The sequence below is a fragment of the Homo sapiens genome, chromosome 7 (assembly GCF_000001405.40).
Source record: "Homo sapiens chromosome 7, GRCh38.p14 Primary Assembly".
In the NCBI taxonomy this organism is placed as follows: Eukaryota; Metazoa; Chordata; class Mammalia; order Primates; family Hominidae; genus Homo; species Homo sapiens.
The window spans coordinates 65,708,999-65,736,765 of NC_000007.14; the positions used below are offsets into that span (position 1 = coordinate 65,708,999).

The 27,767-nt window shown below is 44.4% G+C and overlaps 1 long non-coding RNA gene and 1 pseudogene across 3 annotated transcripts in view; one reads left to right on the forward strand and one right to left on the reverse strand.

Moving 5' to 3' along the window:
- INTS4P2 (integrator complex subunit 4 pseudogene 2) overlaps positions 1–9,690 on the forward strand; it is a 70,835-nt pseudogene extending 61,145 nt beyond the window's left edge. Inside the window, exons 11-13 of the transcript NR_027392.2 lie at positions 6,650–6,709; positions 9,165–9,324; positions 9,543–9,690. The product of NR_027392.2 is annotated as an integrator complex subunit 4 pseudogene 2 (transcript). The remainder of the gene's footprint in view (positions 1–6,649; positions 6,710–9,164; positions 9,325–9,542) is intronic.
- The window catches only part of LINC03006 (long intergenic non-protein coding RNA 3006), a 123,801-nt gene that overhangs the window by 61,989 nt on the left and 34,045 nt on the right, over positions 1–27,767 (reverse strand). Inside the window, exons 2-4 of one of the 2 annotated variants that reach the window (NR_103527.2) lie at positions 18,057–18,110; positions 17,773–17,946; positions 5,613–6,850 (exon numbers count right to left, since the gene is read on the reverse strand). This is a non-coding gene — a long non-coding RNA (long intergenic non-protein coding RNA 3006). Of the gene's footprint in view, positions 1–5,612; positions 6,851–17,772; positions 17,947–18,056; positions 18,111–27,767 lie in introns of those variants that run through there. The other variant, NR_038378.4, reaches the window with a different exon arrangement.

Below are 27,767 nucleotides of genomic sequence, written 5' to 3' on the forward strand. Positions count from 1 at the left end.
GGTTATGAACCTTTCTGTACCTTGTTTCCCTGTACAAAATGAAAATGAAGACAGCATCTACCTCATGGCATTTCTATGAAGAATAAATGAGATAATACAATATAAAAACACTTAGCATGGTACTTGATACGTAATAAGAGCTCAGTGTAATTATAGCTGTAAGACTTTCAGATAACTGGAATTGCCACATTTCATTGATTCCAAGATACACATTTTTTATTATTGTAACTTCTCTGAAATCAGATATTTTGATGGTGTCCTATAGTGTTTTTTGTTTCTTACTATTTCATAAAATAAAGGTGCATCTTAAGAATGATGGCATCATAGATTTGATACAAAAAAGTACTTAGGTGACTCATTGCCAGCTCACAGACATGTTTGATGCTCAGTTCAGCTGCTGTGTCAAAAAAAAAAGTGGCATAGAGATATAAATATGAATGTTTAAACACAGAAACATACTAGGTCAGAAATAACATCCTGAAAAATAAAATATTTTATTTCTTCACTTATCTTGATAGTGACCTCATAAAGTCAAAGAATCATTTAATCGTAAAGATATTCATATGTGGCCGGGTGCGGTGGCTCACACCTGTAATCCCAGCACTTTGGGAGGCCAAGGTGGGCAGATCACGAGGTCAGGAGATCAAGAGCATCCTAGCTAACATGGTGAAACCCTGTCTCTACTAAAAATACATAAAATTAGCTGGGCGTGGTGGCATGCACCAGTAGTCCCAGCTACTCGGGAGGCTGAGGCAGGAGAATCTCTAGAACCCGGGAGACGGAGGTTGCAGTGAGCCGAAATCACATCACTGCACTCCAGCCTGGGCAACAGAGCAAGACTCCATCTTTATAAAAAAAAAAAGATATTCATATATTCATTTAACAAATGTTTAATCCCTACTATGTGCCAGTTATAGCTGAAAAAACAAAAGTGCTTGTGATGGCATCTATACTGTTTTTTAAAAAAGATTTTTTTTAGTTTATATATAATTGTTACAAAAATTAAAATATTACAGGGTAAGTGAAGGTTCTCTGGTAATCTACCACTTCGAAAACAGCTGCCAACATTTCATGTGTATACTTCCAGATTTTCCCAAACCGTATAAACATAGGTTATAAAGATGTGTACAATAACATAAAGGGGATCTTACCATACTTTGCTGTTCTGCCTCCTATTCCTTTCACCCAACATTATAATATGCTTATCTTGTCGTGTCATTATATAAAGATACTAATGTTTTTAGGTCTTTATTCATGCTATAATATTTTATATTTTTCTTTTTTTTTTTCTTTTAGACAAAGTCTCGCTCTGTCGCCCAGGCTGGAGTGCAGTGGTCCAATCTCAGCTCACTGCAACCTCTGCCTCCTGGGTTCAAGCAATTCTCCTGCCTCAGCCTCCCAAGTAGCTGGGATTACAGGCATGCAACACCATGCCCGGCTAATTTTGTATTTTCAGTAGAGACGGGTTTCACCATGTTAGCCAGGCTGGTCTCGAACTCCTGAACTCAGGTGATCCACCCGACTCGGCCTCCCAAAGTGCTGGGATTACAGGCGTGAGCCACTGAGCCCAGCCTATATTTTTCATTTGTATGCGTTCCTGTTTTTTTCTTTTTTTTCTTTCTTAAGTTTTGCTAGATTGTTTTCTTTTGTCCTCCAGGGGTTTGAAAGTTATGCACCGTAATTCTAAACACTTCAAGTGAGAGGCAGTAGAACATACTGGTTAAGAGGGCTGTGGTGCCACACTGCTTGGGTTCACATCTTGACTTTACCATTTGCAAACTGAGTAACCCTTGGACAAGTTACTTAACACTTCTTGGCCTCAGTTTGTTCCCATAAGTTAAACTGAGATAATAGTAGTACCTGTCTCTTCCTCACAGGGGTATTGTAAGGGTTATTGAATTATTATATGCAAAACCATTTATTTATTTTATTTATTTATGAGACAGAGTCTTGCTCTATCACCCAGGCTGGAGTGCAGTGGCACGATCTCAACTCACTGCAACCTCTGGTTCCCGGGTCCAAGCAACTCTTATGCCTCAGCCTCCCAAGTAGCTGGGACTACAGGCCCATGTCACCACACTCAGCTAATTTTTTTATTTTTAGGAGAGATGGGGTTTCACCATGTTGGCCGTGCTGGTCTCAAACTCCTGGCCTCAAGTGATCCACCTGCCTTGGCCTCCCAAAGTGCTGGGATTCCAGGCGTGAGCTACTGTGCCTGGCTGGATTATTATATGCAAAGCCTTTAAAATAGTGTCTGTCACATCCATTATAAATACTTGATACATGTTAACTAATATTAGTTTTAGTAATACTGTTATTACTTATATTTTTAATGAACATATTGAACTTATATTTATCAGCATAAAAAGTTAAACAGAATTTATGGTCACCTCTCTGAGATCAAGATGATCTAAGATGAAGATGAAGATTTTAGTATGCTTTTGTTTGTCTCTTACTGCTTAAGTAATTTGGGCCAGTTGGCCGGGCTCAGTGGCTCACGCCTGTAATCCCATCACTTTGGGAGGCCAAGACAGGTGGATCACGAGGTCAGGAGTTCAAGACCAGCCTGGCCAAGATGGTGAAACCCCATCTCTACTAAAAATACAAAAAATTAGCCAGGCGTGGTGGTGGGCGTCTGTAATCCCAACTACTCGGGAGGTTGAGGCAGAAAATTGCTTGAACCCAGGAGGCGGAGGTTGCAGCGAGCCGAAATCATGCCACTGCACTCCAGCCTGGGTGACAGAGTGAGACTCCATCTCAAATAATAATAATAATAATAATTCAGGCCAGTTAAGGTCTCTTACTGAGCAAAAAATAATAATAGCAATTTGGGCTAGATGCAGTGGCTCATGCCTGTAATCCCAGACTTTAGGAGGCGAAAGCAGGAGGATCGCTTGAGCCCAGCCAGGAGTTTGACCCCAGCCTAAGCAACATAGTGAGACCCTGTCTCTAAAAAATAAAAATCAAAAATTAGCTGGACATGGGTGGTGTGCACCTGTGGTCCTAGTTACTTGGGAGGCTGAGGTGGGAGGATCCCTTGAGCCCAGGAGTTCGAGGCTGCAATGAGCTATGATCATGCCATTGCACTCCAACTTGGGCAACAGAACAAGACCCTATGTCTTAAAAATAATAACAATAATATGGCTGGGTGCGGTGGCTAACGCCTGTAACCCCAGCACTTTGGGAGGCTGAATCGGGTGGATCACGAGGTCAGGAGATCGAGACCATCCTGGCTAACATGGTGAAACCCCGGCTCTACTAAAAATAAAAAAAAAAATTAGCCGGGCGTGGTGGCAGGTGCCTGTAATCCCAGCTATTCGGGAGGCTGAGGCAGGAGAATGGCATGAACCCAGGAGGTGGAGCTCGCAGTGAGCTGAGATCCCACCACTGCACTCCAGCCTGGGTGAGAGTGAGACTCCGTCTCAAAAAAATAATAATAATAATAATAATAATAATAATAATAATAACTTGGAGGTTTGTTTCAGCTGATTATGTTTTTATAATGTAGCTTATATTAATTTTTATGTTTATAAATATAATCTTTTAAAGTTATAAGTACATAATCTTTGTATATCCTTGTTTATTTTTATTTTTAATTTTTTTATAAAATATTTTTTATTTTTAAAAATAATAGAAACATGGTTTCACTGTGTTGCCCAGGCCAGTCTTGAACTCCTGAACTCAAACTATCCTCCCACCTCGGCCTCCCAAAGTGCTAGGATTACAGACGTGAGCCACCACTTATGATCTTTATAAGTTTAGCTCCAACTTTGCCACCACTGTTCTCTGTCGCCTTTTAAATTCCTTTGCTCTCATACATAAATGGAATTCTTTTCCAATATTTCCATATTGCTATGGTGCCTTTATTTATTTATTTTATTGGGCAACCCCCGCCAAACCAGAATAGGTTCATAGAGACTCTCTGCCTTTGCTATGTTCCCTTTTAGTATTTAATGTTACAGTTGAATGTTTTATGTCAGTCTGGTTCTCTTCCCTACAGCTTATTTTTCATGCTCAAACCTTTAAAATTTTCTTTCTTTCTTTAATTTCACCAGGATATATCTAGGTATGTGTTTTCTTTCAATATTCTTGCTGATCTTCGGTGGGAGTTTGAAGTATCAGCTGTTTTTAGCTCAGGGATTTTTTTTTTCTCCATTATTTCTTTACTTCTTCTATACACTCTAGTCTGTCATACTAAATGTTGGATTTTCTGGATCTATTTTTCCTATACCTTTTCTTTTGTAATTTCAATTTCGTTGTTTTTCTATTCTATATTCTGAGTAAATTCTTTTTTTTTTTTTTTTTTTTTTTTTTTTTTTTTTTTTTTTTTTTGAGACGGAGTTTTGCTGTTGATGCCCAGGCTGGAGTGTAATGGCACAATCTCAACAATCTCAGCTCCCTGCAACCTCCACCTCCCGGGTTCAAGCGATTCTCCTGCCTCAGCCTCCCAAGTAGCTGGGATTACAGGCATGCGCCACTGCACCCGGCTAATTTTGTATTTTTAGTAGAGACAGGGTTTCTCCATGTTTGGTCAGGCTGGTCCTGAACTTCTGATCTCGGGTGATCCGCCTGCCTCAGCCTCCCAAAGTGTTGGAATTACAAGCATGAGCCACTGTGCCTGGCCAGTAAATTCTTTAATATGCTCTTTTTAGTTTATCATTTCAGTTTACATTGTTGTTGATTCCGCTGTTCTCAACTGTTGAGTTTGATTTCATTATTATGTGTTTTATTTCCAAGTGTGCTTCTCTACTATTTTTTTCCTTTTTTTTCTGCTGTATAGTTTCTCTTCTTGTCATCTGCTGTTTCTGTAGCAGTTTCTCTTGCTTTGTCAATGTAATATCCTTTTAAATCCCTGTTAACTCTCACTGAGGTTGTTGATTAGAATTTTTTAAAAAGTTTTCTGTGCTTTCTTGCCTTGACTTAACTCTTTTTGAGGACTGCTTGGTCTCCTTTACAGCTCCTGATTGTCATTTATAACACCTAGTCATTTTCCATTGTCTTTGCCTACTTACAGTGAAAGTCTAGGCTAGTTTAAATTGGTAATTTGTATTCTTTAATGATTGTTAGCCCCCGAGTGAGCCTCACTTTCATAGCTTTCCTTCCCTCACACCAAAGGAAAAGTAGGAGATCTTAGTATTAGAGGCCTACTTCATGTATATGGCCTGTTGATGAGGATGCCTGCTCTTTTTTGACGTCTGGGGAGAGTTCCCAAATCTTTTTGTATTTTACTTCCTGGAGTCTCTCCAAGATGATTCTCTATATAATCAGGCAAACAAATGAGGAAATGTCACTGCTTGGCCAAATTGCTTTCCTTTGTGCCCTTGCTTGGCTGGAATTCTCTCTTCTAGCCCTCTCACTCCTTGTGGTGTTTGGTGGGTAACCTCACTATGAAATTTCACTTCCATTTCTGGTAGAAGATTAGTTTAAAAACTTTCAAGTGCTACTTTTTTTTGTTGTTTTTTTTTTTTTTTTCAGGAAAAGAATTAGAATGAATGTTGCTTCCAGAGTAGGTTTCCATTTGCCATCTACCCCCGGCCCCATTTTTTGTTCATCAGCAAATACTTATTGAATGCTGCCTGTGCTAGGAAATATATGATGAAGAATACAAAGTCTACTCATGGAGACTATATTTTAATAAAAAGACTAAACTTTGACATCATTCTCTTACATATTTTTACATAAGGAAAGAGTATTTGTTTTATCTTGGTGGGAACTTTTATTCATCCAATGAATAATATATTAAAGAAAACAAGTGGGAAATTTCATGCAGAAATTACATACAAGAAATAGGAAGAAAATATACAAAGGTCAAAACTTAGTAAGTCACATTGACCTAGCATGTTGCCTGGATTATTTAGGTATGCAATAACTTTTTACTGAAATGGAATGTTCTCAAGTACTGTGAGGCCAAGTAATTCAAGATAGAGAGGAAGGAACACCATCCATGTCTGTCGGCAAAATAGTAGCAAAACCTTTTCACCTCTCGCATAGGAATTTAGTTAACTTTTTAGGTATGTTTCTTGGAGCCCTTACAGTATCAACTACATTAGTAGGCTATACCGCTATGGAAAAAATGATCTCTGAGTAAATTGCATGTAGACCAGAAGGAAATATAAATGAACTAGTTTCCAGATGCCGATACAATGGCTGTAGGCTTCATTGAGTGCAGTGATTCTTGAAACTGGGTAGATCTTGCAGCAGTCCACACAGCTATCTGGGAGCTTTCATCCCAATGCTGACAGCTCATGTGCAAGGAGATGAGATCTAAATCAGATAGGTATAGAGACCATGCTAGCTGAGATGTTAATGAAGCAAGGACTCCTGAAGAAGGGGAACTTGACACTGTACTGCCCACATGCTATGCTTCTCTTCTGTATTCGTAGTGAGTCTAGTGCCAAGTGTAGCCTGTGATAGTCTTTGATTTTTAATATTCTTTGAGCTTAATGGGCACTGCAGTGGTTTAATCAGGTCTTGGGATCCCGACAGGTGTTTCCCCCAGGTCCATTAGGAGTCTTCTGTTACTTTTAGAGATCGTTTTTATAGTGTAATATACTAATTTTCCTTTAATTTAGGCTCAGGTTTCTGGGACTTTGGTCCACCTCAGTTTGCAGATTTCACAAGCAAATTATTTTACGTTTCTTTTCTACAGACTTTACCCCTTATTTGGGATGTGTGAAAAATTTTTACAGGAAGTAGACTTTTTTCAGAGGTAAGTATTTTATAACTCTTCCGGCTTATAAAATCTTGGTTACACGGAGTATAGCACTTGCAGGCAATAGGAACAATCACAAATCACATTCCTTGGTTTAGCTTGTGCAGCCAGGCTATCATCTGTGGCCATGTCGTTAACCTTAAATTAGGAAAAAAAAACTAATTTGGTTTTTTTCCTTAATATTATAGAAACTTCTTTGAAGTTGGAGCTTCAAAACTAAACCTACCAGGAATCACTTGCATTTAGCACTCAGCTAGGCCATAAAAACACAAGTAATATGAAGAAAACGTGTAAATACGTTTGTTGAAAAAAATCATTAGTCATCTGTTTTTTTCAACACTGTTCGTTCACACCATTCTTATTTATTTATTTATTTATTTATTTATTTATTTATTTGAGACAGAGTCTTGCTCTGTCACCCACGCTGGAGTGCAGTGGCGCAGTCTTGGCTCATTGCAGCCTCCGCCTCCTGGGTTCAAGTGATTCTTCTGCCTCAGCCTCCCAAGTAGTTGGGACTACAGGTGCCTGCCACCACACCTGGCTAATTTTTGTATTTTTAGTAGAGACGGGGTTTCATCATGTTGGCCAGGCTGGTCTCTAACTCCTGACCTCAAGTGATCTGCCTGCCTTGGCCTCCCAAAGTGCTGGGATTACAGGCATGAGCCACCACCGCGTCTGACCTCATTATTATTTTTTGAGACAGGGTCTCACTCTGTCACCCAGACTGGCACAGCTCACTGCACCCTTGAACTCCTGGGCTAAAGCTATCATCCTACTTCAGACTCCTGAGTAGCTAGGACTACAGGCATGTGCCACCATGCCTGGATAATTTTTAATATTTTTTTTAGAGATGGGGTCTTGCTGTGTTGCTCAGGCTGGTCTCAAACTCCTGGCTTCAAGAGATCCTCCTGCCTCTGCCTCCTGAAGTATTGGGATTACAGGTGTGAACCACTGCACCAGGCCCACACTGTTCTTATACTTGCATATTTCTCTGTAATCTACAAACAATTGTTTTGTAATTCTATAGGTAAATTTTATTTTGTAGAATACATATATTTTTTCAGAGTTTTATATGGAATGAATCTGTTAAAGCACATGCAGTAGTTGAATGGAAAGCTTGATGAAGAAATAGGAGTCAAGGGAGTGACCAGACTTCTGGTATGCTGGCAGAATAATACTGGGAGAAGACATAGGATCTTAAAGCACTGATGAAGTCTGTTTCATTTCTTCCGCTCATTGTCTCTGCCCTCATGAAGTTCACCAAACCTGAGGTTTTTGTGACTCTGTACTTGTCATTGGGGTGATGATAGCTTCTTACAGGGCTGAGTTGCAACGCTACCTTCACCAGCAGGTAATGCTGTCTAGCAAACTGTACCATCTAGCTTAGCTTTTTAAGATCCTAGTTTTGAGGCTGGGCGCGGTGGCTCACGCCTGTAATCCCAGCACTTTGGGAGGCTGAGGCGGGTGGATCATGAGGTCAGGAGTTCGAGACCAGCCTGGCCAACATAATGAAACCCTGTCTCTACTAAAAAATACAAAAAATTAGTAGGGCGTGGTGGTGGGCAGCTGTAATCCCAGCCACTCGGGAGGCTGAGGCAGGAGAATTGCTTGAACACAGGAGGCGGAGGTTCCAGTGAGCCGACATCACGCCATTGCACACCAGCCCGGGCAATAGCGCGAGACTCCTTCCCAAAAAGAAAATAAAAAATAAATTCTAGTTTTGAATCTGAAATAAGTTCATGCCTTACTTTTGGCTTTAGATTCTTTAAAGTAGAGAGTCTGTTTTTGCACAGTTGGGTTGAAAAGATTTTTGGGAAGATGATAGCTCTGAATCCCCAAAGTTCTTCATCTGATGTTCTTAATTCATCCTTTGAGTTCCTGCACAGATATCACCTCCTCAGTGAGATATTTTTTGACTATCCACTGGCACGAGGCCCAAAATTGGATCAGTCTGAGACAGGAGTAACGTACTTAACTTTTCTGAGCCTCAGTGAGGCATCATCCCCTCTGAGTCTCAGTATTTCTGCCACTTGAATGTAAGCTCCATTGAAGCAATCGTTTTGTTCTCTTTTGTTCACTGTGTTTCCAGAACCTAAAATAGTGCTTGGTGCTTCGTAGGTCTTAAAAATGTATTTGTTAAAATAATTAATGAATCTATAATATGAAAATAAAAATTCTAATGATGCATAGGATTGCTGGGAGTTAAATAAGATCATGTAAAACACTTAAGAGTATGCCTGGCACATAATGGTTATCAATAAACAGAGGCCTTTCTGATGATCATGTGACTGAGGCATGATTGTATAGGTACCAGTCTATCTTGGTCGTAAATTGCAAGCTCTTCTCACTTCATCATTCTTCCTACTTCAGGGTTTGGTAGGTGTCTGGGGCCCAGCCTGTGGTGAATGTGTGCACAGTTGAATGAGTCAGTTGCTTCTGTTTGTTCCTCCAGGTATTTCATCGCTGATTTGCCCCACTTGCAGGACAGCTTTGTGGACAAACTCCTTGACCTTATGCCCCGACTCATGACATCCAAACCTGCAGAAGTGGTCAAAATTCTACAGACCATGCTGCGACAGAGTGCCTTTCTGCATCTCCCACTTCCAGAGCAGGTCAGGGTCTATTTGGCCCCTGTAGGCCAAATCTGTCCAGACGGTCAAAAATCTTTACCTTGGTGATCTTCTTTGACCAATGGAGCAGCTGGGCTAGGCTCTTCCTCTGAGTGGCTCCCACATGCCCACTCATTAGATAAGGAGACAGAAAAAAGATGTGTTTTCTTGTCCAGGAATGACCTGGCTTTAGAATCATAGGATTTTCCTCTGGCTTACAGATCCACAAAGCCTCAGCCACCATCATTGAGCCAGCGGGCGAGTCAGACAACCCTTTGCAGTTTAACTCTGGGTTGGTGGTTGCCCTGGATGTTGATGCAACCCTGGAGCATGTGCAGGATCCTCAGAACACTGTTAAGGTCCAGGTCTGTCGGGTTTGGGTCCTCGTGGAGCTTCTAGACTGACCTTGTGTTGAAGTATTTAATGTTAGTACCCCTATAGTCTCTACTTGAGGGACAGAAACTGGGACAGGAGAAGAAATGAGCCTCTGTGGGAAAGAACCTAGGCTTGAATCTCAACTACTGCTGAGTGTGGTTTGAAGCAAGTTACTTTAAACTCTGAGTCTCAGATTCTACAACTGACAAATAGGAGGAGTTGACATAAAGAGATAATGAATTTAAAGCCCCCAGGACCCAGTAAGGGTTCAGTAAATGATAAGACCTTTTCTAATCTTGTAATGTGACGTTAAGATTTGGTCTTTTATTACAGAAAACTATAATAAACAAGTTCCTTTCAGGCTGTGAGTCAGTCAGCTGGCAGATAAAATTTATGGATGGGAAAAAGCGATTACTAGGAAATATTCTTTCCCAAGTTACATAGATGTAATAGAGACACATGAGAAATGTAGTAGAGACACTAATCAATTCAGACAGTGCAGTTAAGCCCCACAAAGAGTACTACTCCTTCATTCATCCATCTGTCCACTCATTCATCCTTCCTTCCATCCATTTGTGCAATTGTGTTTACTCTATTGCATGCACTAAGTGCTGTGGTTGCCAAGGTAAATATATCACAGTTCTTCCTCTCGGGGTGTACACAGTTTCATTCAGAGACATACAAATGGGCAGGCAATTATAAAACAGGGTTTGGTGAGTAGACATGCACAGGATGGGTCATCTCCTAGACTGTCTCCTAAAAAACCCTTTCAAAGCACCTCTACCACATGCAGGGCTAAACCTTTTAGAGTATTCAATTTGGAGTGTGGTGGAGGCTCAGGAAAGGAAAGGAGAAGGGCACAAGGGATATGAGAGAAGGGCCAAAGGGATATGAGTCAAAGCAGGGATGCAAGCACTGGCAGGAAGTACAATAAGGGGACAGAAAAATAGGCTGGAACAGGCAGAGAAGGCTTCCTGGAGGAGGTAAGGATGAATCAGGCCTTGAAGATTACGCTTTTCGGCTATGGTGACAATAAAGGAACGGGCCTTCTGGCTTCCAAGCAGAAATTATTATAAATTATGAGACCTGCAGAGAACTAGTTCTGAGCTAGCTGTGAAGTTGTATTGCATATTGGAGTGTTTTTGTTTTGTTTTGTTTTTTTCCACATTAGTGGTTGTCCACCTTCACTGCACTTTAGGATTACTCAGAAAGCATTAAGAACAGATGAATAGGTGTCAGCCTACATTAATTAAATCAAAATCCTGAGAATAGGGCCTATGGGCACTAGTGTTTAAGAGTTCATAGGTGATTCTAATACGTAGTCAGTGATACCAGCAGAACTACTGTTTTACATTGTCCCTGAAAAAAAACTTCACTGATCACCTGAGTGTAAAGGAGATTGTAGGCAGGTTACTTAAGGGTCATCTCCTAGACTGTCTCCTAAACCCCCTTCAAAGCACATCTACCACACGCAAGGCTAAACCTTTTAGGTACCTTATAGGTAGAGGGACGGGAAACTCACTGCCCCATCGTGGGACAGGTCCAGTGCTTTGAAAGTGCCATCCAGTCCAGTCACCACACCCTGAGTCATTCCTCTGTTCCAGGCACTACTTACTTCAGGTGCTCGATAGAGATATAGCAGTAAACATGCCTCAGAGATGACACTGAGATTACATTCCCCAATAAAATACTGTAGATCTGTTCTTTAAAGCAAAGCCTGCAGAACTCCATTCATTAACTATTTATTTTATTTTATTTTATTATTATTATACTTTAAGTTTTAGGGTACATGTGTACAATGTGCAGGTTTGTTACATATGTATACATGTGCCATGTTGGTGTGCTGCACCCATTAACTTGTCACTTAGCATTGGGTATATCTCCAAATGCTATCCCTCCCCCCTCCCCCCACCCCACAACAGTCCCCGGGGTGTGATGTTCCCCTTCCTGTGTCCATGTGTTCTCATTGTTCAATTCCCACCTATGAGTGAGAACATGCGGTGTTTGGTTTTTTGTCCTTGTGATAGTTTGCTGAGAATGATGGTTTCCAGTTTCATCATGTTTTATGGCTGCATAGTATTCCATGGTGTATAAGTGCCACATTTTCTTAATCCAGTCTATCGTTGTTGGGCATTTGGGTTGGTTCCAAGTCTTTGCTATTGTGAATGGTGCCGCAATAAACATACGTGTGCATGTGTCTTTATAGCAGCATGATTTATAGTCCTTTGGGTATATACCCAGTAATGGGATGGCTGGGTCAAATGGTATTTCTAGTTCTAGATCCCTGAGGAATCGCCACACTGACTTCCACAATGGTTGAACTAGTTTAGAGTCCCAACAACAGTGTAAAAGTGTTCCTATTTCTCCACATCCTCTCTAGCACCTGTTGTTTCCTGACTTTTTAATGATCGCCATTCTAACTGGTGTGAGATGGTATCTCATTGTGGTTTTGATTTGCATTTCTCTGATGGCCAGTGATGATGAGCATTTTTTCATGTGTTTTTTGGCTGCATAAATGTCTTCTTTTGAGAAGTGTCTGTTCATATCCTCCGCCCACTTTTTGATGGGGTTGTTTGTTTTTTTCTTGTAAATTTATTTGAGTTCATTGTAGATTCTGGATATTTGCCCTTTGTTGGATGAGTAGGTTGCGAAAATTTTCTCCCATTTTGTAGGTTGCCTGTTCAGTCTGATGGTAGTTTCTTTTGCTGTGCAGAAGCTCTTTAGTTTAGTTAGATCCCGTTTGTCAATTTTGGCTTTTGTTGCCATTGCTTTTGGTGTTTTAGACATGAAGTCCTTGCCCATGCCTATGTCCTGAATGGTATTGCCTAGGTTTTCTTCTAGGGTTTTTATGGTTTTAGTTCTAACATGTAAGTCTTTAATCCATCTTGAATTAATTTTTGTCTAAGGTGTAAGGAAGGGATCCAGTTTCAGCTTTCTACATATGACTAGCCAGTTTTCCCAGCACCATTTATTAAATAGGGAATCCTTTCCCCACTGCTTGTTTTTGTCAGGTTTGTCAAAGATCAGATGGTTGTAGATATGTGGTGTTATTTCTGAGGACTCTGTTCTGTTCCATTGATCTATATCTCTGTTTTGGTACCAGTACCATGCTGTTTTGGTTATTGTAGCCTTGTAGTATAGTTTGAAGTCAGGTAGCATGATGCCTCTGGCTTTGTTCTTTTGGCTTAGGATTGACTTGGCGATGCGGGCTCTTTTTTGTTCCATATGAACTTTAAAGTAGTTTTTTCCAATTCTGTGAAGAAAGTCATTGGTAGCTTGATGGGGATGGCATTGAATCTATAAATTACCTTGGGCAGTATGGCCATTTTCACGATATTGATTCTTCCAACCCATGAGCGTGGAATGTTGTTCCATTTGTTTGTATTCTCTTTTATTTCATTGAACAGTGGTTTGCAGTTCTCCTTAACATCTGTTAAGGAGATTAATTAACATCTGTTAATGAGACCTTTCCTCGATTAAATATTCTGTCATTGGAGATTGGTACATTTCTTTGTCAAGGGCAACAGTTTTTAAGCCATTCACATACACACGTTCCTGGGAGAAGTGACACTGGGGAGATTTTTTTTTTAACCCCTGAAAATAAACATATCGGAGAATACATTCATGATCTCTCCACAGGTTCTAATAAAGGGGGGAGACCTGGGTTCTGCACCTGGCCTTGTTGTCGTGGTTACGGTTGCTTTCAGGCGATGGCACCTGTTCTCCAGGTGTGTCTGGACTTCTACTTGCTTTAGCCATATATGGCCACCAGGGGGAGCAGTCACCCCACAGTTGCCTGGAGCGCCCTCTCTCTCCAAATTCACAGCTTGAAATGTCACCTGTGGCCGTCTGCGGTCATCCACGGTTTTCTTTCTTACCTTTTCTTTCTTTCTTTCCTTCCTTCCTTCCTCCTTCCCTTTTTCCTTCGTTCCTTCCTTCCTTTTTTTTTCTTTCTTTCTCTTTTCTTTCTTTCTTTCCCCCTCTCTCTCTCCCTTCCTTCTTTGTCTTTCTTTCGATCCTTCCTTCCTTCTCCCCTCCCCTCCCCTCCTCTCCCCTTCCCGACAGAGTTTCGCTCTTGTTGCCCAGGCTGGAGTGCAGTGATGTGATCTCAGCTCGCTGCAACCTCTGCCTCCTGGGTTCAAGCAATTCTCCTGCCTCAGCCTCCCAAGCAGCTGGGATTACAGGTGCCCACCATCAAGCCTGGCTAATTTTGTATTTTTAGTAGAGACGGGGCTTCCCCATGTTGGCCAGGCTGGTCTTGAACCCCTGACCTCCGGTGATCCATCCTCCTCAGCCTTTCAAAGTGCTGGGATTACAGGTGTGAGCCACCACAGCTGGCCATCCATGGCTATTTTCACCATGCCTCGCTTTCCCCTGTTGGTTCAGTCACCCTCAAAGGACAGAGCCTCTGTGCTATAGGCCTCCCCCCAGATCTGTGCATTGCCTAATATGACTGGACCCTCCTCCCCACTCCCCATCCTGCCCCAGCTCCTCTGATGACATCATCGGCTCTGGAGCCACCACTCAGCCTCTTGCAGGAGGGTCCCCTCTCTCCAACCCCACTGGCCCCTCAGGACCCCACATCCCCCGGCACCGTCTGGTGCAGGGACTCTTTTTTCTCCTATACCCCACGTACTGTAGAATCTAAGGTAGGGTCTATATCCTTCATGGTTCCTGTGGTCGTGTCCAAGACCTTTCTCTTTCAAAGGCAGCGGAGTCACCTGCTGTCCCTCTCAGTGACTGCTGTCTGCTGGTCTTCCGCTTGCACCTCGTCATCCATTGAGGACTTGTGTTCCTGGCTGACTGCGTTCTCCATCCTTCTTGCCGTCTTGTAGAGCAGCAACCCCTCTACATTCCCCCAGCAGGTTTGCAACAGTGATTTCATACAAGACGTTGGTGTCGTCACCCACGTGGACAGGCCAGCCTACTCCGCATCTCTCTGGGCACTTAGACTGCTGCAGCTCCAGTGAGCTTTTCCAACATGCCTCTCAGCCACCACTCCCTGCCTGCGGTCACACCTGGGACCCTCCATCACCCAGAAAGGAGACTTCAGACAGCTCTCTGCTGACCTCTCTTCTGTTGCTCCAGAACTCTCCACTTGGCCTCCCCACCTCATTGTCACTCTCTCTGTGGTCATTGCCTTCCTTAATCATGGTTCATAATTAAAATCAACTCCTGCAGGGCGAGGTGGTTCACGCCTGTAATCCCAGCACTTTGGGAGGCCGAAGTGGGTGGATCACTTGAGGTCAGGAGTTCGAGACCAGCCTGGCCAAAATGGCAAAACCCCTGTCTCTACTGAAAATACAAAAATTAGCTGGGTGTGGTGGCAGGCGCCTGTAATCCTAGCTACTAGGGAGGCTGAGGCAGGAAAAATCGCTTGAATCCGGGAGGTGGAGGTTGCAGTGAGCCGAGATCACACCACTACACTCCAGCCTAGGCGACAGAGGGAGACTCCATCTCAAAAAAAGAAGAAAAAAAACCTCCTTTTTCTCTCTCTCTCCTGACATTGTTCCCCTGGGCAAGGGTGACATGAACAGGCTGGATCTCTTGCATCTGCAACTGGACAGCCAAGCATCACTGGGAAAGCACACACTCAGCTGCACTTTCACTTTATTCATCTATTTATTCATTTACTTATTTATTTATTTATTTATTTATTTATTTTAGTGACAGGGTCTCACTCTGTCACCCAGGCTGGAGTGCAGTGGTGTGATCAGAGCTCACTGCAGCCTCCATCTCCTGAAGCGATCCTCCCATCTCAGGTTCTGTGGGAGCTGGGATCACAGGCGTGCACCACACCATGCCCATCTAATTTTCTAATTTTCTATAGAGATAAGGTCTCGCCATGTTGCCTAGGCTGCTCTTGAACTCCTGGCCTCAAGCAATCCTCCTCACCTCAACACCCCAAAGTGCTGGGATTACAGGTGTGAGCCACCATGTTTGGCTGTACTTTGACTTTTTTTTTTTTTTTTGAGACGGAGTTTTGCTCTTGTCACCCACGCTGGAGTGCAGTGGCGCAATCTCAGCTCACTGCAACCTCTGTCTCCTGGGTTCAAGCAATTCTCCCACCTCAGCCTCCTGAGTAGCTGGGATTACAGGTGCCCACAACCCTGCCCAGCTAATTTTTATATTTTAAGTAGAGATGGAGTTTCACCATGTTGGCCAGGCTGGTCATGAACTCCTGGCCTCAGGTGATCCACCCATTTCAGCCTCTGAAAGTGCTGGGATTACAGGCGTGAGCCACCGCACCTGGCCTGGCTGGACTTTCACTTTAAATTCAGACTTCAAGTGGGCTTCCTGGCAACCCCTCTACATTCCCCCAGGAGGTTTGCAACAGCGATTTCATACTTCCTCTCTCTCTCTCCTCAAACCTCCTGTGCTTCCTTCCCTCCCTCCCTTCTGCTCAGCTGACACTCACTTCTCCAACATTACTAGAAGCCCTCAGAGTGAATGTTCTTATCTTCCCACCATCCACCGACTGTGTCTCTCTCTTCCTTCCACTGTCACTGTGTAATAATTGCCCTTCTGCGGCTGGGCATGGTGGCTCATGCCTGTAATCCCAGCACTTTGGGAGGCTGAGGTGGGAGGACTGCTTGAAGCCAGGAGCTTGAGACCAGCCTGGGCAACATAGTGAGACTCCATCTCTACAAAAAAGTTTAAAAATTAGCCATGGGCTGGGTACGGTAGCTCACGCCTGTAATCTCAGCACTTTGGGAGGCTGAGGTGGGCGGATCACCTGAGGTCAGGAGTTCAAGACCAGCCTGGCCAACATGGTGAAACACTGTCTCTATAAAAATACAAAAATTAGCTGGGCCTGGTGGCATGCACCTGTAATTCCAGCTACTTGGGAGGCTGAGGCAGGAGGGTCACTTGAACCCAGGAGGCGGAGGTTGCAGTGAGCCAAGAATGCACCATTGCACTCCAGCCTGGGTGACAGAGCGAGACTGTGTCTCAAAAATAAAAATAAAAGTTAGCAAGGCATGGTGGTGTGCACCTGTGGTCCCAGCTACTCAGGAGGCTGAGCTGGGAGGATCACTTGAGCTCACGAGTTCAAGGCTGCAGTGAGCCATGATTGGGTCACTGCACACCAGCCTGGGTGATGGAGTGAGACCTTATCTCTCAAAAAAAAAAAATGTCCTTTTGATTTATGAAGCCTCGGCCCGGCCTGAGCTGTGGGTTCCTATTCCTTCTGGCTTTCTCAAGCTTTTCTTGTCCACTGGAAGCTTTCACTAGAGGGTAGAGGACTGGCTCTGTAATTGGGGACCTAATTGATGCTCTGTTTTCTGTAAAGAGGAATTTTTCTAATTGCCACTTAGCAGGGAGCCTGGCTAGGGATGGAATCTGGGGGCCTTACTATTGGTTCACCCTCCTGGGGACCCCTCATCTTTGGTCCATGCATATTCTCCTTGGGGTGGCATCCTGGAATTAATGATCTCTTACACATCACAGCACCTCGAAGCTCCCCCAGACACATCCTCATCCAGCCTCTCACTCTGATGCCATCATTGTCTAGGGACACCTCCGCATAGGTCCATACCATGTCTCAAGCTGCTCATCTCAACAACATTTGTGCTCCAGGAGGTGGAGGTGCCCTAGGGGGCTCCTCACCAAGGGAGTGGGCAGGTGATCCCAGCACTTTGGGAGGCCGAGGCAGGTGGGTCATTTGAGGTCAGGAGTTCATGATCAGCCTGACCAACATGGTGAAACCCTATTTCTGCTAAAAATACAAAAAAATTAGCCAGGCCTGGTGGTGCATGCCTGTAGTCCCAGCTACTCAGGAGGCTGAAGAGAATCGCTTGAACCTGTAAAGCGGAGCTTGCAGTGAGCCGAGATCACACCACTGCCCTCCAGCCTGGGTGACAGAGTGAGATTTAATAAAAGTGTATGCATTGAACCCATTGGGAGGTTTATCTGTTAGGGAAATGGGAATAACTGGGAATCACACAATCAGAGAGACAGGAGTCGGGACTTGCATGGGGCTGTGATGCCGTGGCCTGTGGGTCTGGGTGGGGGAATGTGATGCACTCTGCCCTCCCCCTAGGCCCCATCCCTCCTGTCTAACTCAGTTGTCCTTACCTGTGGCTCTCAGGCTCCCCTGCAAAGGCACATTGTGGCTGCAGCTTCCAGCTTCCTCAGAAGCAAACATCCTTTGGTAAAAGCCAAGAGGTCAAGCCGGGCTTGGTGGTTCACTCCTGTAATCCCAGCACTTTGGGAGGCTGAGTATCACGAGGTCAGGAGTTCAAGACCAGTCTGGCCAACATAATATAACAGTATAACGTATAATAGTCGAATGCATAAAAAAAATTACAATGACAGCAAAAAAAACAAAACAAGACCAAAAAAAGACAAATCAGACTTACCTTTCTCCGTGCTAGATTTCTAGGAGGCCACACTCTTCTCTTCCTGTTCCTCCCCTAAATAAAAATGGAGCACAAAATTATGACTACAGATTTCTTCAAGAAAGACCTGTAGATTCTGCAAGAGCAAGATCCTAGAAAGAGAGAATGAGGAAATGAACATTGAAGTCCAGACACAAAACAGGAAAGAGGGAGACTGGCTTCACTCTCTCCTGGTGGGACTGTCACAAAAACGAGTCAGAGGCAAAATTTCCTAAGACTGCTTCCTCTAGGTAATGCTTTAGTTTTACCCCCTTCAAGCACTGCAGAGTCAGCATATTCTTTTCTGTGGCTTCAATTCTGCAAGATTCAGGTCTGATAGGAAATCATGTAAACCTGATTAGCAGAGTACAAAGAAAAGAGAGAGGCAGAGGGAGAGGGAAAGAGAATCTCTTGGGAGAACTAAATGAATAGACACAGAAGCAGACTCAGGCGGGCGCAGTGCCTCACGCCTGTAATCCCAGCACTGGGAGGCCAAGGCTGGTGGATCACTTGAGATCAGGAGTCTGAGACAAGCGTGGCCAACATGGTGAAACCCTCTCGCTACTAAAAATACAAAGATATTAGCCAAGTGGTAGTAGCATGTGCCTGTAAGCCCAGCTATTTGGGAGGCTGAGGCAGGAGAATTGCTGAACCCAGGGGGCAGATGTTGCAGTAAGCCCAGATCACGCCACTGCACTCCAGCCTGGGCAATAGAGAGACACTCCGTTTCAAAAGAAAAAAAAATTCACCGGATGTGGTGGCACATGCCTGTGGTCCCAGCTACTCGGGAGGCTGAGGCAGGAGAATTACTTGAACGCCAGAGGTGGAGTTTGCAATGAGCCGAGATCGTGTCTCTGCTCTGCAGCCTGGGTGATAGAGCGAGACTCCATCTCAAAAATAAATAAATATATAAATACAGGGGACAGAGACAACAGCATTCCAAGATGAATCAGAGAAAGGATCTGCTGCCCAATTACAAGGAAGCAAAGACAACAGTTTGTGTGTGTGTGTGTGTGTGTGTGTGTGTGTGTGTGTGTGTGTGTGCGCATGTCTGAGACAGGGTCTTGCTCTGTCACCCAGGCTGGAGTGCAGCAGTGCAATCATAGCCCACTGCAGCCTAGAACTCCTGGGCTTAAGCAATCCTCCTACCTCAGCCTCCTGAGTAGCGGGGACTACAGATGCACACCACCATGCCCCGCTAAGTTTTTATTTTTTGTAGAAACAGGGTCTCGCTATGTTGCCCAGGCTGACATTGAACTCATGGCCTCAAGGAATCCTCCCACACTGGCCTCCCAAAGTGCTGAGATGACAGCCGTGAGCCACCACACTGGGACTGCAGTTTCTTATAAAGTTAAACATATACTTATCATAGGACCCACCAAGGCTGGGCGCGGTGGCTCATGCCTGTAATCCCAGCACTTTGGGAGGCTGAGGCAGGTGGATCACCTGAGGTCAGGAGTTCAAAACCAGCCTAGCCAACATGGTGAAACCCCCGTCTCTACTAAAAATACAAAATTTCCAGGCATGGTGGCACATGCCTGTAATCCCAGCTACTAGGGAGGCTGAGGCAGGAGAATTGCTTAAACCCAGAAGGCAGAGGTTGCGGTGAGCCGAGATTGCGCCATTGCACTCCAGCCTGGGCAGCAAGAGTGAAACTCCATCTCAAAAAATAAAAATTAAAAAGACACCCAGCAATCCCAGTCTTGGAGTTTTATCCAAGAGAAATGAAAACATATTCATAGCAGCTTTATTTGTGACTGCCCAACACAAGAAAAAACCCAAATATTCACCAACAGATAAATAGCTAAACAAATTGTGGTATATCCCTACGATGGAACACTACTCAGTAATAAAAAGAAATGAATTACTGATACATGCTACAACATGGATAAATATTTTAAAAAATATACCAATAGGGCTGGGCGCGGTGGCTCATGCCTGTAATCCCAGTACTTTGGGAGGCTGAGGCAGGTGGATCACGAGATCAGGAGATTGAGACCATCCTGGCTAACACGGTGAAACCCCGTCTCTACTAAAAATACAAAAAATTAGCTGGGCACGGTGGCACATGCCTGTAGTCCCAGCCACTCAGGAGGCTGAGGCAGGCGAATCGCTTGAACCCAGGGGGCAGAGGTTGCAGTGGGCCAAGATTGCGCCACTGCACTCCAGCCTGGGGGACAGAGCAAGACTCAGTCTCAAAAAAAAAAAAAATTATACCGATGGAAGGCCAGGCACGGTGGCTCACACCTGTAATCCCAGCACTTTGGGAGGCCAAGGCAGGCAGATTACCTGAGGTCAGCAGTGACCAGCCCAACCAACATGGTGAAACCCTGTCTCTACTAAAAATACAAAATTATCTGGGCATGGTGGCGCATGCTTGTAATCCCAGCTACTCAGGAAGCTGAGGCAGGAGAATCACTTGAACCCGGAAGGCAGATGTTGCAGTGAGCTGAGATTGCGCTACTGCACTGCAGCCTGGGCAACAGGAGCGAAACTCCATCTCAAAAAAAAAAAATTATACCGATGGAAAGAAGCCAGACACAAGAGCACATACTGTTTCAGTTATATGAAACACTAGAAAATACAAATGCCCTAACAACAAAGATCAGATCAGTAGGGCTGGGGGTTGGGACGGGGCTGACTGGAAAGAGGCCCTAGGAACCTTCTGGGTGATGGAAATGTTATTGTGATGATTACAAGTATGAATAAATTTGTCAAAATTCATCAAAATGCACACTTAAAGAGTGTATTTTATTACATTTAATTATATAGCAATAAAACACTGGCTTTAAAAAAGTCTCTGATAAGAGGCTGGTCTAGGCAAACTTGAGGATCCCTTCCACCCTAATTCTAGCCCAAATATTTTCTTTTTTTTTCTTTTTTTCTTTTTTTTTTCCTGAGATGGAGTCTCACTCTTGTCGCCCAGGCTGGAGTGCAGTGGCGCGATCTTAGCTCACTGCAATTTCCACCTCCCAGGTTCAAGCAATTCACCTGCCTCAGCCTCCTGAGAGCTGGCATTATAGGCACACACCACCATGCCCAGCTAATTTTTTGTATTTTTAGTAGACAGGGTTTCACCATGCTGGCCAGGCTGGTCTTGAACTCCTGACCTCAGGTGATCTGCTCGCCTCAGCCTCCCAAAGTGCTGGGATTACAGGTGTGAACCACCATGCCCAGCTAGTCCAAGTATTTTCTTAAAAATAAAATAAAACAAGGCCGGGCATGGGGGCTCACCCCTGTAATCCCAGTACTTTGGGAGGCCGAGGTGAGAGGATTGATTGAGCCCAGGTGTTTGAGACCAGCCTGGGCAACATAGTGAGACGTCATCTGTACAAAAAATAAAATAAATGAGCCAGGCATGGTGGTGCATACTTGTAGTCCCAGCTACTTGGGAGGCTGAGGGGAGGATCACTTGAGCTCAGGAGTTTGCGACTGCAATAAGCTATGATTGCACCACTGCACTCCAGCCTGGGTGACCAAGTGAGACCCTGTCTCTTAAAACAAAAAAGAAAAGAAGGAAGGTAGGTATCAGGCATATATTAAATCATCTGAAAATTTTAAAAAGTCCTGATTACTTTGTTTCACCGACATGAAAGTGACAGGACTATGGTCATGATATTGAAAACCTACCTGGCACTGTAATACAGGAATATTGGATTTTATTATTTTCCTCCCTGATTCTCATTCCAATATCAGTCATCAAATATTTAAAAAGTAATAATATGCAAACATACGTAAAGAAAATATAGTGGCCAGGTACAGTGGCTCATGCCTGTAATCCCAGCACTTTGGGAGGCTGAGGCGGTGGATCGCTTGAGGCCAGGAGTTTGAGACAAACCTGGCTAACATGGTGAAACCCTGTCTCTACTACAAATATAAAAATTAGCTGGGCATGATGGCATGCGTCCAGCTACTCGGGAGGCTGAGGCAGGAGAATCCCTTGAACCCCGTAGAGGGAGGTTGCAGTGAGCCAAGATCGCGCCACTGCACTTCAGCCTGGGCGACAGAATGAGACGGTCTCAGAAAAGAAAGAAAAGAAAAGAAGAGAAAAAAAGAAAAAGATAGTAAATACATTTAATGAATGAAAGCATGATTAACTTAATTCCCAACTTGAAGTTGTATCGTTATTAACAATGTACCTGGTAAGTACTTATTTTAAAATTCTAATTCTAATTCTAATGGGAAAGGAGACGACAAAGTCGGACACTTCAACTCTGAGTTTGGGATGGCCCCAATTTTGCACTGAGAGTGCTCCTGCGCAGGACTGCATCATTCATTCATGCTGTTTGGAAACAGGCAGCTGCTGAGAGATTAGACAGTGAAGCTACCCCAAAAAATAAATCAATGAAAAGAAAGCCTGGAGATTCTAGGAAATGATCTGCCTATGCGACTAAGCAGAATAAATGTAGACTCAGACAGGAAGCCTGGAAGAGGAAAAGGAAAGTCGGCGAAATCAGAAAGTTGGGCACAGGGAAGGCACAAGGCAGGGACTTACCCTGCGTCCTGGGCCTCCGGGGCTCCTGCGGCTGCAACTTTCTGGCTGCAGGGGGCCAGGGCCGGCTCCGACGCTCAGGCGAGCAGTTCCCAGGGAGGTGAGCTGTGCAGACCGGCAGGGCCTCCACTGAACACTCTCCTGAGATCTGCTGATAAGCGGGGTGGCTTCTGATCAGTTCTGAAAGTGCCTCCGTAAACTGGAGACACCAGATCTCTGCTCTGCAAAGCCGGGCTGGGAGGACGCCTTGGCCCCGCCCCAGGGTAGGGGCTCCGCGAGCCTGCCCCCTCCTCCTCCGGGGGCTCAGCGCCTGCAGACGGAGAGGTGCACCGTGCGGAGTACGCTTTCTCGGAAAGCCGCGCCCTGTGGCACCTTTGCTTTGCAGAGGAGGAACAAAAGAGCTCCTGGACCTTCAGAAGCTGCTCTGCGCTGCCGCCACCGCCACTTGGGATAAGAGTAGGTGAGGGAAGCAAGGGACCGCGGCACTGATTCTGCAATTAATGAAATCCCCGTGGGGGTCCTCTTTTGAAATCCAGGTTTGACCTATTTGGCCTATTTTTAATTTTTATTATGTTTTTAAATAGAGATTGGGGGGGGGGGGTTCTCACTGTGTTTCCCAGGCTGTGCTCGAACTCATGGGCTGAAGCGATCCTCCCTCCTCAGCCTCCCAAAGTGTTGGGATTACAGGTGTGAGCTACTGCGCCCAGCCTATTTCTTTCTGTTTCAAAAATTTCTGGCCCGGCGCAGTGGCTCAAGCCTGTAATCCCAGCACTTTGGGAGACCGACACAGGTGGATACCTGAGGTCAGGAGTTTCAGACCAGCCTGGACAACATGGCAAAACTCCGTCTCTAACAAAAATGCAAAAATTAGCGGGGCATGGTGGCGCATGCCTGTAGTCCTAGCTACTTGGGATGCCAAGGCAGGAGAATTGCTTGAACCTGGGAAGAGGAGGTTGCAGTGAGCCAAGATCATGCCACTGCACTACAGCCTGGGCAACAGAGTAAGACTCCCTCTCAAAAAAAAAAAAAAATTTATCCCATGTGTCACTTGCCCAGCTCCTTGTATGTTAACTACAACAAATAAGAGGTGTTTCCCCCAAACATTTACCACTGGCGTTAGCTGGGTGGAGCTGGGCATCAAGGTCCACTCTAAAACACAACCTGAAACCTCAGAGGCTGACAGTCTGCACTCCAGGCTCACTCTAAGTTGCTCACCCACACAGAGGATGCAATCCCTGGGGCAGGACACATGGTCACAGCATCCCTGCCCTTAGCTACAGGACCCTCCCCACCAAAACACAATCCTTTTTTTTTTTTTTTTTTGAGACCGAGTCTCCCTCTGTCACCCAGGCTGAAGTGCAGTGGTGCTCACTGCAACCTCCGCCTCCTGGGTTCAAGTGATTCTCCTGCCTCAGCCTCCCTAGTAGCTGGGATTACAAGTGCATGCCACCACGCTCAGCTAATTTTTGTATTTTTAGTAGAGACAGCGTTTCACCATGTTGGCCAGGCTGGTCTCGAACTCCTGACCTCAAGTGATCTGGCCACCTTGGCCTCCCAAACTGCTGGGATTACAGGCATGAGCCACTGTGCCTAGTCACCAAAACACAATTCTATCCGGTAACAAGAGGCCTGATGCTCTTGGATTGGATGTGCCCTATATTCAATACTTCCAGATTTTGAGGCCAGGCTCGGTGCTCCCGCCTGTAATCCCAGCACTTTGGGAGACCAAGGCAGGAGGATTGCTTGAGCCTAGGAATTTGAGACCAGCCTGGGCAACAAAGTAAGGCCCTGTCTTTATTATAAAACTAAATAAATAATATTTCCAGATTTTATTAGTAAGAAAATGGTTGCAAGTTTTTGGGGACATCCAGTTTAATATCTGCCAGTGAGGCAGAAAATTTAAAAATAAATATGCATTCATTCACTTCAAGAAAAGTAGCAGGCAAGGCAAAGGTTAAAAGGAAAAGAAACAAGTTTTCCTCTGCTTAGCAGCTCACTTAAAGGACAGTTATAAAATAACGCTGTCCGAAAAGCCAAGACCAAAGGAACAGGCTCCAGACACCTCTCCCTCTTCCAGAGCAAGGTTGAAAGAAAAAAAAAGGAGAAAGACAAATTACTTTACTGTTACTCTCCTTTCTCTAGCTTTTTTTTGTTTTTTGTTTTTGTTTTTGTTTTTTTTTGAGACAGAGTCTCACTCTGTTGCCCAGGCTGGAGTGCAATGAATGGGATGATCTTGGCTCACTGCAACCTCCGCCTCCCGGGTCCAAGCGATTCTCCTGCCTCAGCCTCCCAAGTAGCTGGGATTACAGGCATGTGCCACCATGCCCGGCTATTTTTTTTGTACTTTTTTAGTAGAAACAGGGTGTCATCATTGGCTGGACTGGTCTGGAACTCCTGACCTCAAGCGATCCACTGCCTCGGCCTCCCAAAGTGCTGGGATTACAGGTGTGAGCCACTGTGCCCAGCCACTCCTTTCCCTAGCCTCTTAAGCGTGACTGTGTTTTACAAATGTCTGTATTTAGCCAGTTCTTGTTTTTCTTTCGATGCAGCTACAAGGCCACCAGCTATGCAAGGCCACAAGTTATGCACTATATGATTAACTGCCTTTGTTTTGCTTTTGTAAGCCTGCTTATAAACCCCCCACCTCTGTCTTTGTTCTAGGCTCAGCTTTTTAGATGTGAATCCACTGAGCCAGTGCTTACCTTAAAATGAATATCTTCCTGTGTTCCCATATCAGTATCTCTGTTCCTCAGTTTACCATAACACCAAGTCTGTGGGAAGTGGTTCTGATAAAGGATTCAGAGGATGAATTCTGATATTTTGAAATAATGAGATTAAAAAATTATACAATTCATGGTGGGGTTCCTAATAGGGGTCTGAAATAACAATCTAGTCAAGAACCTGTATATATTTTGCTTTTGTTCTCTGTCACCCAGGCTGGAGTGCAGTGGAGCAATCTTGCAACCTCTGCCTCCCAGGTTCAAGCAATTCTTCTGCCTCAGCCACCCAAGTAGCTGGGATTACAGACGTACACCCATGCCTGGCTAATTTTTGTATTTTTAGTAGAGATGGGGTTTCACCATGTTGGCCAGGCTGGTCTCAAACTCCTGACTTCAAGTGATCTGCCCACCTCAGCTTCCCAAAGCTCTGGGATTACAGGCATGAGCCACTGTGCCCAGCCTGAAGTAGTTTTTTTAAAAGCATAATAAAGGAAACAAAATGTTAAACACCAAATGTTTGTATCTAAGTGTAAGTTGTAACTGAGAAGTTGTTTTGAGGGGAAAAGAAACTCAAGTATGTAAATGTGGATGGCTAGAAGAGTTACCTATTATTTGTATTTCATAAATGTTTAATATTAAATAGATTTCAGATAAAATATTTATATTTACCAAAATCTTGCTGGGTGTGGTGGTGCATACCTATAGTCCTAGCTACTTGGGAAGCTGAGGCAGGAGGATCATTTGAGCCCAGGAGTTCCAGGTTACAGTGAGCCGTCATCATGCCACTGTACTCCAGCCTGGGTAAAAAAGCGAGCCCTTGCCTCCAAAAAATTAATTAGTTAATTAATTAAAATAAAATCTGTTACCTCTTCATGGTCCTGGAATCCACCTCACACTCACACCTGTATTAATACTTGTGGGCATGAGATGGCAGTATTGTAGACGCTGTTTTGCTAAAGCATATCACATTAAAAATATATATATATAGTTGCCTAGAAGACACTAATGAGTGGTCACATATAGTGTAACAACCAGGAGGTAATCTTGCCAGACAAGGCAAAACTATGAAACAGATTAAAATATGCTTCATTAGGCTGGGCGGAGTGGCTCACGCCTGTAATCCCAGAACTTTGGGAGTCCGAGGTGGGAGGATCACCTGAGGTCAGGAGTTCGAGGCCAGCCTGGCCAACATGGCAAAACCCTGTCTCTACTAAAAATACAAAAAGTAGCCGAGCCTGGTGGCGGGCGCCTGTAATCCCAGCTACTCAGGAGGCTGAGGCAGGAGAATCACTTGAACCCAGGAGGCAGAGGTTGCAGTGAACCGAGATTGCGCCACTGCACTCCAGCCTGGGTGACAGAGCCAGATTCTCTAAAAAAAAAAACAAAAAAAGTTTAATTGCTGTTCTTACTGGAATAATAGCACATGTGAACCAAATACAATACAGCAAAATGAAGCCATAATAAAAATATTAGCAATTTATTTTGCAAAGTTTTTAATCACAATTGGTTAGTCAAAAGTAATGCACGTCATACTACTGTTCCTGAAGCTTCGAACTGCTGGGCTCAAGCAATCTTCCTGCCTCAGCCATCTAAGTAGCTGGGACCACAGGTGTGTGCCACCATGCCAGGCTGGTTTTTTATGTTTAGTAGAGCCTGGGTCTCATTATGTTGCCAAGACTGGTCTCCAACTCCTGGGCTCAAGCCCAAGTGTGATCCGCCTTACCCGGCTCTGAAAGGTTTTCTACAGATCACATTTTTTAAGCTAACAAATTTTCTTTTAATTTTTCTTTTTCTTTTTTTTTTTTTTTTAGACGGAGTCTCTCTGTGTTGCCCAGGCTGGAGTGCAGTGGCGTGATCTCGGCTGACTGCAACCTCTGCCTCCTGGGTTCAAGTGATTCTCCTGCCTCAATCTCCCAAGTAACTGGGATTACAGGCAGGCACCACCATGCCCAGCTAATTTTTGTGTTTTTAGTAGAGACGGGGGTTTCACCAGGTAGGACGGGCTGGTCTCAAACCCCTGGCCTCAGGTGATCTGCTCACCTCAGTCTCCCAAAGTGCTGGGATGACAGGAGTGAGCCACCGTGCCCAGCCACAAATTTTCTAATGGCTAATTGTGTTAGAATCATGTACTCCTTTTTAAAAAGTTATTCACTGATAATGGCCTTCTAAAGTATAGTAAATTGGAACGAACACTCCGGAAAACAATATGGTGTTAGTAACACTAAACACACGCAATTTATACAACCCAGCAATTCCACCTGAGGGAGACACTCAGGAGAAACTTTCATGAGTAGGCTGGGTGTGGTGGATCATGCTTCTAATCCCACCACTTTGGGAGGCCTAGGTGGGAGGATCGCTTGAGCCCAGGATTTCAAGACCACCCTGGGCAACATATTGAGACCTAATCGCTACAAAAAATAAACAACATTAGTGGGACGTGGTGGCACACACCTCAAGTCCCAGCTACTTGGCTGAGTTGGG